Source organism: Homo sapiens, chromosome 7, assembly GCF_000001405.40.
Source record: "Homo sapiens chromosome 7, GRCh38.p14 Primary Assembly".
Lineage (NCBI taxonomy): Eukaryota > Metazoa > Chordata > Mammalia > Primates > Hominidae > Homo > Homo sapiens.
Genome location: NC_000007.14, coordinates 9,769,517 through 9,785,564, shown reverse-complemented (window position 1 = coordinate 9,785,564; position 16,048 = coordinate 9,769,517). Strand labels below are relative to the sequence as shown.

The following is a 16,048-nucleotide window of genomic DNA, read 5'->3' as shown; positions in this document are numbered from 1 at the left end:
AATGACTATATACTTCAAAACATCATGTCATACTAGGTGAATTTATCTGTCAATTTAAAACAAAAAAAAAATTGGAATTGCTGTATAACTTGGATTAGACCCAGAACTATAGTATAAGGAAGTTCTGACTCTGCCTGAAGGCATGCCTCATTGGGACCTGTGGGCAGAAGTAGGATTGCCAAACGCCTACACATGAGTCTTAATTAAGTGTCTTACTTAGAAAGTAACACCCTCTACCCAACTACTTTTTAAAGTATATAAAAATGTTCTTGATTTTGTAAGTGCAGCATACCTATTTTAGGTTTTCTTGTCAGGATTTACAATCATGTACTCCTTCAGCATTATCAAACACCTGATTGTGAAACATAGGGTTCATGGAGGATTGTCTGAAGGGCATGGTCCTCAGATATTCAGCTATGCCTACATGTCCTTAACCTAGAATCAATGATTTTTTATGATGTACATGTGTAGTTTTCAGACACACCCAAGTGTGAAAAGTAAAGTTTATAGAGGATTGCCTGAATGGCATGGTCTTCAGATTTTCAGCTATGCCTAGGTTTCTTTAACCTAGAATCAATGGTTTTTAGAATGTACTTGAGTAGGTTTCAGATGGCCCTTCAAGCCCCTGGATAGGGCTTGATACACTGATGAAAGCATGCATGCCAAATATTTTAAATATTTCAAGAAAAGAGTATATAACTTCAATTAGATTATCATTTGAAAGATTACTACATGTTATTCACCTGCTAACGCTTTTCAAATCTCTGTATCTATGGCCTAGATATTTCAAAAATCATTATTCGCTGTTCTGTAATCAAGTAATTGATGAAAAGAATAGGAACAGTTGAGTACTAAGATTAAAGACCAGTAGTTCCCTATATTCACAACAGAATCACTTGGGTGCTTTTTTTTAAAAGATACACCATCACATTGTGTCCTTTGCATATGGAATGAAAAAAGTATGGTGAAAACTGTTAACTGTATGTTTCAGAAAACGTTTCATGTTGTTCTTATGGACTAAGAAACATTGATTCATGCCATGAACCTAAGAACAAAATGGTACCTTGTCAATATTCAGAAAAGGGACAGCCAATAATATTATTTATATTATCATTTAGTGGTAGCCATCAAAACCCTTGATGTGCATATGATGACATTTATTAAACTTACTATGTTCTTTTGTAAGCTTCTTCTTGTTCATGTTAGTATAAACCCTTTTCATGAAGCCATGAAACCACATATTGAAAAGGCTATTTATATCTCTTCAACTCAATATAAATAGAAATGTAGACCAGAATTGGAAGCTATTAGTGACCCATTGTGCATATAAAGGTGCATCTTGTTTTTAATTTTATGGCATAAATTAGAGAACTGAATAATGGCTTCTATTAAAAATTATAGATAAAATAGAAACAGGTATATGTATGTCTGTAAATTTATACATATACTTATCTATATGGTTTTAGAACTTGGTTATATTTGTGAGATAATAGGAAAAGAAAATATCACTGTATTATCTTCTATATAAACTTACGCTCACGGGCACCTTCTATTAGAATGGCTTGTGTTTCATTCATTCCATAAAATACAGATTTTCCAACTCTGCCAATGAATCAGATTCTTTGGATGTGAAGTGTAAGAGTCTCCATGTCTAATAAGTACTTCAGATAAGTCTTCTTCTCACTCACATTTGAGTACCACTGTCCTGTTTGGCATGGAGTGTGTTAATTTTCTTGAAAGCCACATAGAATCAATGCAAGTATTTATGTCCTGATGGTTCTTAAAATCCTAATCAGAGCAATTATATTCCCTAAAAAATATCATATTTAGGTAGATACATAAAGAGGCCATTAAATTAAAACTGTGTTCTAAACTAATCTAAAGAACTAAATCATTTTATTGTTGACCACTCACTCATGCTAACATATTCTAAGCTTTATATGCTTGATATTTGAAAAGAAGACTATTTCAGCCAGGTGCAGTGGCTCACACCTGTAATCCCAGCACTTTGGGAGGCCGAGGTGGGCAGATCACCCTGAGGTCAGGAGTTCAAGACCAGCCTGGCCAACATGGCGAAATCCCATCTCTACTAAAAAATACAAAAATTAGCTGGGCATGGCGGCGCATGCCTGTAATCCCACCTACTTGGGAGGCTGAGGCAGGAGAATCGTTTGAACCCGGGAGGCAGAGGTTCCAGTGAGCTGAGACTGCACCACGGCACTCCAGCCTGGGTGACAGAGCAAGACTCCATCTCAAAAAAAAAAAAAAAAAAAGAAAAAAGACTTTTAAATTTTATTATAAACATTATCTATTGTAGGTTAAAAAACAATCAGCATTTATCAATAAAAAACATCATCTGGGTAGATCAAAGAGAGAGGTCAGTAAGGCAATTATTTAATATTAAAAGATATATACTAAGGCTCCTAAGACTCAATGTGTTCACTTGAGAGACTTGGGTTTTGGTGGCTGTTTTTTCTGCTATGAGTGAACTTGTGCAAATGAGTTTTGTATTTTTTATTAAAATGTAAAATTCAAAGTTGAGATTTTAACATTTGGATTCTTAGAAGTAGTATCATTTACATTCCAACTCAAAATTTCTATATGTTTTTCTATAAAATGAGAATAATAATTGTTTACAAATTATCTCTGGAAATGAACATAATTCATTTACAAACTAATTGCTTTTTAAAAACTTTTTCTTCTCAGAGATCCCCCATCTTTAAGAAAATAATTCATTTATTTTTAAAACTTTAAATTATTTCAAGAATAAACACCGTTTGTTATTATTCATTTTGTTTTGTTTGCATGCTTCCAAATGATATCTGCTCATTATAAGTTGTTTAAGCAATATAGAAAAATGCAAAGAAGAAAATAGCAACAAGAAATCACTAAAATTCTCTCCACCCCCAAATAAGTATTGTAACAGAAAAGTGTGTTCTGAGTAGACGTGGCCTGAGCACATGTTGATTAGTGCCTGGAGGGATTGTCTAAGATGTGATTTATTTGCAAGCTAAAATTAAGAGTGCCAGTTGGAGTTTTACTTGCTCTGTTGAGGGGAGATCACAACTGTAGATGAGCTGCCGAGGAGAGGTTTGTCTCTCTTGGAAATCAAGGGCAGAGCTCATAGGTCTGAGTAATCTGAGAGGGCAAGGCCTACTGAAGCCTGTCACTGAATAGGCCTTCAGATTTAGACAGGGAATCCAATTCTATTGATCCCAGTATGACTGGAGGATGTTACTATAGTGGATGAAATTTCTCTCAGTGTCTTTAACATAAACAAATTTACACTCCCACCAACAATGCAGCAGAGTTCCTGGGGCCAGATCCATACCAACCCCCGGTAATACAAAACTTGAAAACTTTGCTGCCCTGAAGGGTATAAATAATATCTTATTATAGTGAGATAGGCACTATAACGTATATATATATGTGTTAGAGCAATTTGCTTTTTCTAATTACTAGTGAAGTTCTATTTGAAGTGTTTCCCCTATAATCTACATATTTTGACTATTTTTCACTCTTTTTTTTAGTGAATGCTGACTTGAAAAAGGCAATAGACTATAAATAGGGCAGGCAAGTTTGACAGCTGTTCAACATCAAACCGAGTTCCATCATTCAGAGCAGACAAGCTAACAATACTGTTGAAATCAACAGTCAGGCAGTGTGCTGCTTATTTTAGGCTTGGACCTTGAGGTTCATTATGTGCTCTTTTCTTGCTTTTCTCTGTGCCTCAGGAAGCTGATGGCATGGTCTTGCATCAACTGACCTTTCCAGTTCTCTGCTTCTGTTTAGGATTTGCCAAAGAAATTCCCAAGGGCAGTTGGAAGATGGAAATACTTCTATCGCCTTGCTTTTGTAACCGTAGGTGAGGCAACAGTTTACAGTTTCTAGTATCTCTGTGTTTTCTCTGTCTTGGTGGATCCCTTAACCTCTTCCCAAACTTTATGAACCATCATTTCATTAAACCTTCTCTAAGAACCATTTTAAGTATATATCTATGTCCTGGTGGACTCTATCTGATAGAGGCAGGCATGACAGATTTCTTAAAACATATTTGGCAGAACTGTATTTCTGAATGATGCCAAAATCTGAAAAGTAATATATTCCTTATTGACAGAGGTCATTGGTAGAGCTACTGAAACTAAATTCAAAGGAAGAAAAAAAAACATGTCTTTATAAAGGATACCATTGTTGTCTTAAAGTTTTACAAGCCAGCACTATGTACTAGGGATCCAAGGTCTCCAAGTCGACTTATTTATAAGGGCAATCAGCAGAGCCTATGATTTTTTTCCTTGAACGTGGGCAATGGTCTATTTGATACATAGTGTACGGAGCACTTTTGCTACCACCTTTATATCTCAGGAATGATTTGGAATTACTCTGAATACAGGTTGCATAGGCTATGAAGTAGGAATTGTGAGGCTAGGCTCAAATGCAAAACTCCAAAATAGATGAGGTAAAATACTAAGCAACTACATTTGCTAATGGAGACTATCAACTACGCTGTATACCACAAAATGTACTGGAAAAAAAAGTGCTCACATTTTGCCACTTATAACTTTATGATAACCTTAGAAATTATGACTATATCTATTTTCCTTACAAGCAAACTGTGCCTGGGAAATTTACTTAATTTACAGTCATTCAGCAAGTGACAAAGTTAGGGTTTAAATTCAGTTCAGTCTGGTTTATTTAGTAACAGGTGCTGTGAAAAATTATGCTATTTTCCTCGAAATCAAAATAAAGTCCAAGGAAACAGCCTCCAACAGTCTTAACTTCTAAAATTTATTTCACAACTCTTTAATTCCCCTTTGCATTTTCAGTTTTGAGTAGAAGCTGTTTCAGTTATCTATCACTACCTAAGTAACTACCCTAAACTTTAATGGTTTTAAACAATTGTATTTTGCTCATGATTTCACGATTCAGGAAGTTGAGAAGGACTAGGCTGGGTGGTTAATGTCTGATCCATGTGATGTTGGCTGGGATAATTGGAGATGGAGGATGCACTTTCAAAATGACTTCTTTACTCTCATGTTTGACACCTCAGTGTTTCTTTTCCTCTCTCTGTATGGATCCTCACAAATCGTGGTCTCAGGGTATTCATGCTTATTACATGGTAGTCTCTAATAGATGAGGTATAAGGTATAAGCTGCCTGTGCTATTGAAGTTAGGCTAAGAACTGGCAAACTATTATTGCATTATTAACCAAAGCAGGTAAAAAACCAGTCCAGATTCATGAGAATAGAAAAGAGATTCTCTTTCTCAATAGGAGGAATGTCAAATAAGTTGTGGCCATCTTTAAACTGTTATCTTTCGTTTTTAACGTAAACTGAGCTTTTACTACATTCTTATCAGGTACAATGCTTCAAACTTTGAACTTTTGTTTCATTAAATTTTCTCAGCAGTCCTGTAAAGGGGTTATGAAAAAATAACAATTGGTTGAACATTAATGCTGACCTTAAATTACTGTTATGGCCCCACTAGTGTTTACAGCAAATATTTATTCTATTAACTATTAGTGTGCCTATTTTTAAATTGAGGAAGCTAAGGCTAAGCGGTGTCGAGTAACTTGACCCAAATTATACAGTTTGTAAGTGAAAGTGTTAGAAAGCATTTGATAGCAGTTCTGCCTGACTAGCACCATTGTATTTTCTAAGAATGCCCCATTACATTTTTGGAAAAATAATTCCATGAATATGCAATCTGCAAGGTCATTTTATTTTATTTTATTTTAATCTTTACTTGAGCTCTGACACATATACATTTTTCCTTTATTTTGTGTGTTATCATTTATTTTTGTGAATTAGAAAGTCCATTTTGTAGTTGTCAGTTCAGGCCCTGCAAGAAGCAACGCCAAGGCAATTTTAGATGTGCAAGATATTGGAGATCTATTAGGGAAAATGCCTGTGAAAGATAAAGAGGGAGAGGGCCAGAGTAGACATGGAGTGGCTTCAGAATATGATTCAGGTGTGCCCACTGTGAAAGAAAGAAACATAGAAAAAATTGGATATTACATTTCTTGTATCACAGTTCCAGTTACGAAAGTCAGCCAGCCTGGTGCAGAGTATTCAAGCAAGGGTTATCCACTGGAGGAGTCCCATGTCAGACAGGAATGGGCCAGCTCTAAGGTCCCTCTCCATGTTTAGGCATTGGCTAGAGACAGCCTAGGGTAAGCAGCCTTGTTGTGAGCACTGTGGTAGATCAAAAAGGAAGTAGCTGGAGACTGTCAGAAAGCTGCTCCCTGTAGTAGGTTCTCTTGCCCTCTGCAAGCCTCATGTGTTAGTTCGTTAGGGCTGCTATTGAGAGACAAGAGGCAAGAAAATTCCACGCATAAAAGGGTGGGTGCCTGGTGAAACCTCACCTTCAAACCAAAGTAGCCTGAAACCTGTGGCCCAAAGTGAGAACTTCTATTCCTGTTTGCTCATTCTCTCCCAATTGGTTCTTTCTGAATAATGCATTTTTACCAATCAAATGTTGCTTTTCCCAAAACTACCTATGGCCCACTCCACCCCTATCCTGCACCTATAAAGACACCAGACTCAGTCAGTAGAGTGGAGAGATGGCTTGACTTTGGAGAGAAGATGGCCAAACTTTGGGGAAGATGAGATGGCTTGAGTTCGGGGAAGGGACAGATGAACTTCAAGGAAAACTATCTGCCTTTCCCATTCCCTCTCCAGCTACCCTCTTCGCTGAGAGCCAGTCCACCATTCAATAAAATTCTTCACCTTCACCATCTTTCAAATGGCTGCGTGACCTCATTCTTCTTGGATGCTGGACAAGAGCTCGGGACCCACTGAGTGTGGATACCCAAAAAATGCTGTCACATCGGCCCTTTGCCCTTGATGGCAGAGGGAAACCGCCCAACAGGATGAGGCAAAGGGCCAACTGAGCTGTTAACACACAGCCGTCCACAGACAGCAGAACTAAAGGAGCATTGTAACACCCCCTCTGGGGTCTTGGGGTCTCAGGCATGCCCCTTATTTGAGCACCACCGCACGGAGCTTGCTTCTACCAGCGCCTGGAGTGTCTGGCCTGGTCCTGCACTCATTTGCTCATGGGCTCCCTCCTACAAGGGGTTGAGTGCAGCAGGCCCAGTAAACATTCATCCTTGTCACGAGTCCAACAAAAGGGCCAAGAAAAGTCCTACCTCACTATCTAGCAACAAAAATTTATTTTTCACAAATTTAGAGGCTAGAAAGGCTGCAATCAAGGTGCCAGCAGATTAGGTATCTGACAAGGACTGTTTTCCTCAAAACAGCACCTTCTCGCCATGTCCTTACATGGTAGAAAGGGTAAGGTGGCTTTCAGGGGCCTCTTTACAAGAGCACTGATCTCATTTTTGAGGGTTCAGACCTCATGACCTAATTATCTCCCAAAGGCTTCACCTCCTAAAACCATCACATTGGTGATCAGGTTTTAGCATGTGAAACGTCATGGCACTCCTACCTGTGAAAGGAGAGGGAGAATATGATGATGCTTTGGCTCATCACATGTCAATGTCAATTAAGACTTTGTGCCTAATTGTTCTGTAAATAGTCCTCTTTTCTCAATGTACAGTCACGAGGGTAAACAATGTCCCTAGGTCCCTTTGGGGAAAGGCTGGGAGGATCATTAAAATATATACTTGCTAAAATGTTGCAGGGTCCTTCCTCCTGGGCATCTGGTCACCTCTTCAGACTATGGGTTTCAAACTGAAAATTTAGATCTAGAATCTGAGGAAGGGACTGTGACTTTTAATCAAGCCTTTTCATTGTAGATGCTAAGCAGTGCCCTTGTTGGCCGACCATGGCTTTTGCCCAAGGGATGGTATAGCCTATAAATCCCCTTCATAACTCTCTGGGGATTGTTCCTCTAACCTTGCTAATATCTATCACTTTCATCCCCCTGATTTCTGGCAGTTAGGCACTGCCACCTCACCTATATTTTTCAAGGCCTCACTATGCTCATGGATATTAATGAGCCCATCTCTGCGTCCACCTCTCGTATGGTCAGGCCTAGCTGTAGTAATGCCAGTGTCTTTATACCTATGTATTCTTGATAGCTTTAAATCACTGGCAGGATTATGGCTCTCCCAGGGATTAAAATTCTTTGAGGGGCTTCTGATGTCACCTAATAAATACATTGTAGCATGATGGTATTTTTGAGCCTTTTTCTTCCTTTCACTATGTTCTCAGAAAAATGGAGGCATTGCTATTTCACTTATCATAGACTAGCATTTTCTGTAGGCTTCTTGGATGCATAGCAGCTAATTTGCCTGATCATCTATTCTTATATTCAGACCCCCTTAATCACAAAATCTCAAAATCCAATCAGAGGGCTTCTCTCTGTGCATGCTAGCTAATACTTATTGTGGCTTCAGAATGCAGCCTACTTTCTCCCTTACCAAGTCCAGCCTTTCCTCAGATGAATTAAATCCAGTTAACAGTCAAACCATCAGCACTGAAAGTGTGGACAGCTCCTTCAGGGGGAATTTAGTATCAGCAGTTGCACCTACCACCTAGTCAGCAATGCACCCATTCCCTGTGAAACAATACATCCATCCCCTCTCAGCAGCATACCTATTCCCTGGTCAACAGTGCACTCATCCACCTCGTCAGCAACGTACCCTTCCTCTTCCAGCAGTGCATCCATCCCCTATCAGCAGTTGACCCATATCCTCTCAGCAGGGCAACCATTCCCTGTCAGCAACACACCATCCATGGTCATTTGTTTACCCATTCCCTGTCAGAAGCACACCCATCCCCTCGACTTCAGTGCACCCATCCATCTGGTGAGCGATGCACTTATCCCCTTCCAGCAGTGCACCCATCCCACTTGCAGCAGTACCTCCATGCTCCCGGTTTGCAGTGCTACCATTCTTCTGATCAGCAGTGCACTCATTGTCTGTCAACAGTGTACCCAACATTTGTCAGCAGTGTACTCATCTTTTCTCAGTAGTGCACCCATCCCCATGTCAGCAGTGCACCCATCCCTTTGAAGCAGGGAACCCATCCATCTGGTCAGAAGTGAAACAACCCCCTGCCAGCTTTGTAGTCATCCTCTGTCAGCAATGGATCTCCTGAACAGAAGAGAAAGAGGAGTCAAACAATCAAGCTGAGTCTATGGGAATAGAGTCTTTTTTCTCTAGTTCAAATGCTGGGCAAGTATGAGCATGGGAGCTGCCTAATTTCACGGCACAAGAGAAAAATCACACATCCATGTCCTTCCACAGATAAGCCAATCACCTCCAGTTTAGATATGCCTAAAGTAGCTCAAGTTAGGATTCTGACTATGGCAAGTAATCAAGTTGATTAAAAGAGAGACTTTTAAAAACGTACTTAAATTTTAAAGAATTAACTAAAATCTCTGTGGATTGGGCTCTCCATCTATAAAACTCTATCTCCTAGGGTTGTTTTGAGGATGAAGTGAGTTTTTGCTGAAGGAAAATATTTTAACAGGGCCTGCATTATAAGTACTCAATACAGACTATCTATTATTGTTAGGTCCTGAGTATTTATTTATTATAATATCACAGATTTTGGAGATGAAAATAATACCATTATATATTTATTACATATATCATTTAATACAATTTTAAAAATTAAAGTACAGTTATGTAAATTTATGTCATTTGAGATAAAGAAGCAATAATGCTTTATTGCATTTTATTGTTATTTAAAGTATCTATGATAAATACCATTAATATAATAAAAAACCTCTTCAAATAATAGTGGCTCAATAAATATTTACTGAAACTATTCACAAGTCAGAATCTCAAAAATTAATGAGAAAAAACAGTCTTTATTGATCTATAAAATGTAGGAGGTATGTTTCAGTTTTTAAAAATATGGTGCAAGAAATGTTACATGAATGCAATCTTTGCATACATTTTATTACATAGGGTTATGAACTGATGTATAAGATGATAAACATAAATTGAACAGGTGCTTTTTTTCATCAATTATTATTTTGCTAATATTTTACATTAGAGGAACAAAAACACAATTCAAAACAAAATACTTTATACATCAGGTTCAAGATATTTATTATTTTCTTCTCTATATCTAAAGATAATTTGAAGTTCAAACTAATCTTAGTCTTTAAAAATACTTTACTTTAAAATAGAAAGCACCAGTTATGATTCCACATTTAACAGCATCGCCTACAAATACAGAGTCCTGACATCCAAGATAAATGAACAACAAATAGAAAGGGCTACAGAAAGGTTCAAATCCATTTGATGTGTGGACAGTTGTAAAGAATGTTGAGCTTTCTATTTTTATTTGTTTGGATCGATAGACTACAAATCAGCTTCTGGAAATATTCCTTAATGTGCCAATTAAGTAAAGAAAAACAAACCCTTTACTATATATATTTTTAGTTAATAATCATAAAAACACTCCAACACAATAATTTGTTGTAGAAAATAATAAAATGATCATACATCATTCCTAAAACTTTCTGTGGAAAGAAATAATGAAATAAGATATAATATACAAAACTTAAAATATAAAATTAGGTAAATTATTAAGGAAAAGTGTGGCAATAATGAGGATGTTTTGAGAAAGTGTCTTTTTCTTCTAAATAGTTCCACAAGGAACTCCCTCTCCCACCCACCCACCACACAGTCGCTAAGAGGCAATTGGAAACTTGTGGAAGTTTTTCAACACCACTTTATGCTAAAAACTCTCAATAAACTAGGTATTGATGGAACATATCTCAAAGTAATAAGAGCTAATTATGACAAACCCACAGCCAATATCACACTGAATGGGCAAAAGCTGGACGCATTCCCTTTGAAACGGGGCACAAAACAAAGATGCCCTTTCTCACCACTCCTATTCAACATAGTATTGGAAGTTCTGGCCAGGGCAATCAAGGCAAGAGAAAGAAATAAAGGGTATTCAAATAGGAAGACAGGAAGTCAAATTGTCTGTTTGCAGGTGACATGATTGTATATTTAGAGAACCCTATCGTCTCAGCCCCAAATATCCTTAGGCTGATAAGCAACTTCAGCAAAGTCTCAGGATACAAAATCAATGTGCAAAAATCACAAGCATTCCTATACACCAATAACAGACAAACAGAGAGCCAAATCATGAGTGAACTCCCATTCACAATTGCTACAAAGATAATTAAATACCTAGCAATCCAACTTACAAGGGATGTGAAGGATCCTTTCAAGGAGAACTACAAATCACTGCTCAAGGAAATAAGAGAGGACACAAACAAATGGAAAAACATTCCAAGCTCATGGATGAGAAGAATCAATATCGTGAAAATGGCCATAACACCCAAAGTAATTTATAGATTAAATGCTATCCTCATCAAGCTAACATTGACTTTCCTCACAGAATTAGAAAAAACTACTTTAAATTTCATATGGAACCAAAAAAGAGCCCACATAGCCAAGACAATCCTAAGCAGAAAGAACAAAGCGGAAGGCATCATGCTACCTGACTTCAAACTATACTACAAGGCTACAGTAACCAAAACATCATGGTACTGATACCAAAACAGATATATAGACCAATGGAACAGAACAGAGGCCTGAGAAATAACACCATACATCTACAACCATCTGATCTTTGACAAACCTGACAAAGATGGGGAAAGGATTCCCTATTTAATAAATGGTGGTGGGAAAAGTGGCTAGCCATATGCAGAAAACAGAAACTTGACCCCTTCCTTATACCTTACACCTTATAGAAAAATTAACTCAAGATGGAATAAGACTTAAATGTAAGACCTAGAACTATAAAAACTCTAGAAGAAAACCTAGGCAACACCTTTTAGGGCATACGCATGGGCAAAAACTTCATGACTAAAACAATAAAGCAATGGCAACAAAAGCCAAAATTGACAAATGGGATGTAATTAAAGAGCTTCTGCACAGCAAAAGAAACTGTCATCAGAGTGAACAGGCAACCCACAGAATGGGAGAAAATTTTGGCAATCTATCCATCTGACAAAGGGCTAATATCTAGAATCTACGAAGAACTCAAATAGATATACAAGAAAAAAAAAACATCAAAAGTGGGTGAAGGATATCAATAGATACTTCTCAAACGAAGTCATTTATGTGGCCAAACAAACCCACGAAAACTCATCATCATTGGTCATTAGAGAAATGCAAATCAAAACCACAGTGATATATCATCTCACACCAGTTAGAATGGCGATCATTAAAAAGTCAGGAAACAACAGATGCTGTAGAGGATGTGGAGAAATAGGAATGCTTTTACACTGTTGGTGGGACTGTAAATTAGTTCAACCATTGTGGAAGACAGGGTGGCAATTCCTCAAGGATCTAGAACCAGAAATACCATTTGACCCAGCAATCCCATCAATGGGTATATACCGAAAGGATTATAAATCATTCTACTAAAAGACACATGGACACATATGTTTATTGCAGCACTGTTCACAATAGCAAAGACTTGGAACCAACGCAAATGCCCATCAGTGAGAGACTGGGAAAAGAAAATGTGCATGGAATACTATGCAGTCATAAAAAAGGAGTTCATGTCCTTTGCAGGGACTTGGAGGAAGCTGGAAACCATCATTCTCAGCAAACTAATACAAGAACAGAAAACCAAACATCTCATGTTCTTGCTTATAAGTGGGAGTTGGACAGTGAGAACACATGGACACAGGGAGGGGAACATCACACACCAGGGCCTGTCAGGAGGTGAGGGGCTAGGGGAGGGATAGCCTCAGGAGAAATACCTAATATAGATGACAGGTTGATGGGTGCAGTAAACCACCATGGCACGTGTATACCTATGTAACAAAACTGCACGTTCTGCACATGTATCCCAGCACTTAAAGTTAAAAAAAAAAAAAGAAACTCCTGGAAGAAGTTTTTAATTGAATCATTTGTTTAGTGAAATAAGCCAAGCACAGACAGACAAATATTGCATGTTTTCACTCGTATGTAGGAGCTAAAAATGTGGATCTCATGAAGATTATAGATTGGTTGTTACCAGAGGCCAGGAAGGATGAGGAGAGGGGAAGGAAGAGAGAGGTTGATTAATAGGTAGAAGTACACCGTTAGATAGGAGAAATAAGACATAGTGTTTGGTAGATCAGCAGGGTGACTATAGTTTACAATAATTTGTTATGTATTTCAAAATAGCTGGAAGAGAATAATTCAAATGTTTCTAGAAGAAAAGGCAAATATTTAAAGTAATGGATATATAATTACACTGATTTGATCTTTGCAAATTAAGTGAATATATTAAATTATCACATGCACCCCTAAACTATGTATGTTATTATGTATGAAGAAACTGAATTTTATAATTTGTGGCATTGTTTTTAAAATTTTCACAGTACCTGATTCTGTAGGTTGGGTGTCTTCAAGTTAACCTACTTATTTGAGTGTTAAATTCAGAGGTTAAGTTCAAATATATTCAACATCCAAGCGTATACTCTTTGAAATTCCAAAAAGATATGAAAAACTAAAATTAATTAATTTGGAAATACATCTCTGTCTCCGTGTGTTCTCAACATGGACTACTGATGGTCATATGTGGAAGTTGAGCATTAAATGCCATCAATGAGGCTATTAGGATTTCAGGGTCAAGTGGCAGAATTATGCAAGGGTGAAAATGGGACTGTTTAGAGAAATGCAATACAAAAGGAATTAAAAGTGTTTTGATTCTAGCTTTAGAGATGTAAAATCAATGGCACCATTAACAAGAATGAAGAGTTGTGATTTCGCCAAGGTTAGAGCCAATAAAGGTTCAAGAACAAGCTTAAGATAAATGAGCTTAATCTCACTTTCCCCATTAGCCCTCATAACAACATGCTTCCCAAAGCCCCACTCCTCCCATCCATTACCCACCCCCACGCTACGTAAATAATAAAATATGTGCTTCGTGGACAAGCACATCTGCAAAACAAGTCCCTGAATCTCCAACTCAAATATGTTCCTGCTTGTAACTTTAACTCCCTCTTATAAAGAAACTTTGGAGGTAGCACTTTTTGGAAGAGAATGTTAAGATAATTTTTTGATGTGCTGAAGTTATTTTCAGAATCAGGACCAGTAATATTCCCCTGATGGAAATCCATGAGTGTGGAGAGTAGAAGAAAATTTGAAATGGGAATCGTGTTGGCTGACAGCTCATTTTAGAATATGATTTGAGAATGATAGCAAAATAATAACTTTTTTTTTTAGAAAAATACAAAAAGTAAGCAACACATTGATTTTGATTGGTTTCACTTAGGCTGTGTTTTTTCAGCTGACGAAACTAAATATCTCAAGGCTCCATAATGATGAAAGAGAGACAAAATGGATAACAAAAAGTGCACATTTATTTCAATATTACAGTAGTAAAACCCTGAGAAGGTGTGACGGAAGTGTCTTCCTTACATGGCAACTGCCTTCTGTCTGTTGCTGCGCCCCCTGACAATACACCCTCCTCTGTCTTTTTGAAGGCCACTCTTGATGTGTGTTTGTTTTTCTAGCAGCCTGAATACCCTCAAAAAGCTTTACTTCTGGGAAATATGATTTACGGTTGCAAGTCTTTGAGAATCCAACATTTCTAATATTGTAGAAATAGAACATTTCAAAGCAAGTTCGGCTGGCTTTTAATCTCCCCCAATGGTCTGTTACTTTTATGATTATTTAAATGGAACTCAATATTCCAAGCTCCCTTATTCTATATATCCTTTAAATCCTCAGCACCATTAATAAATAGTAAAATAACCTCCATTACAAACTATGGATGGAAACTTCAATATAAAAAAAACATGCTATGAATTAGCCGAAAGATGCCACAAAACTCATGTACTAAAATCCATGCATGTAACTCAAAGGAGAGCTTCTTTTATTCTTTATTTAATGTTACTTTGGACATGATTGTAAGTGTGTCCTAATGAATTCTAAGTACTAATCCATTTACTTCTCAATAAACCAACACAAATCCAACTCAAAGCTATCTGAATAAAACAAGAGAATATAGAATAAGTGTGAAAGTTTTTTCTATTGCAAGTAAATACACAGCTAATGTCATTATGACTTACCTAATATCTCAGCTTGTATTTGAAACAAAACGTGAGAAGGCTTTAGGTAGGCTACAGCCAGAAACATATTGTCAGCAGAACAAATTTAGAGTGGACAACTTGTTGGTGAGGGAAGATATAGAAAACTAGTATAACAATGTACACAACTGAAAATAGATACATTTTAAAAAGGTGGAATATGATTTATTTAGTATTTTACATAACTGCAAAACTCCTATGTATAACTGTATTACAGTGCAGTTTTTACGGTTGTTTATAGTGTTGACTCTAATCGTGCAGGGATTAAGTTACATCAAATATATACCATTTGAGAAAGCAGGGGAACATAGTTTCAAGAGGTTCTTTCTCAAATTTATTTCACATTCCCCCTACTCTTGGCGCTAGATGCCTTGGGCCTCCTGGGCCCGCTTTTCATGGTCTTCAATCCACTGTTTTCACTGTGCTTAAGTAAGTTTTCTCCTAACCTCAGTTGATGGCAGTGATGGATATATTTTTGTCAAAATAATTGGCTGCTTGAAAGAAAAAATTTCACTAACTAAAATTAACTGACTTGGAATACCTGCTCTTCTAGAAATGTCAGACAAAGGCCATGTTGCGGAGTAGGAGGCAAAAGACATGTTAGATGAATTTATTATGAGTTATTTTTCATTTCTTTCTAACTTTCAATAGCCAACTTCCAATGAAATTCATTAGCTTGACATAGTTCTCATTTATGTCATGTCTAATTTATACTAATAAACTAAACTGGAGAGGTAACAAATTTACTATTTCAAGCAAAATGAAGTAAACCTTAATTTAGTAATTGCTCCAGGGGAAAATATTTTTGCTCCAATGATCAGTTTAATTATCTCAGTTGTAACCCTTTCATTTATAGGATTTGCACTTTATCCTAACAGAATTGCCCAGAAATCTTAAAGAAAGTAAACCTCAAGTTTGCAAAAATTTCAGGAAGAGCAATATTTGTGATCCCTGTTATCAAGCAATTGTCTCAATACTGACACTTTTGTCTTTTGTAGACGAGGAATAAAAATGGAACAGA

The 16,048-nt window shown here is 37.1% G+C and overlaps 1 long non-coding RNA gene across 1 annotated transcript in view; it reads left to right on the top strand.

Moving 5' to 3' along the window:
- Positions 1-16,048, top strand: part of LOC105375147 (uncharacterized) — a 172,035-nt gene that overhangs the window by 143,992 nt on the left and 11,995 nt on the right. The window lies entirely within an intron of this gene.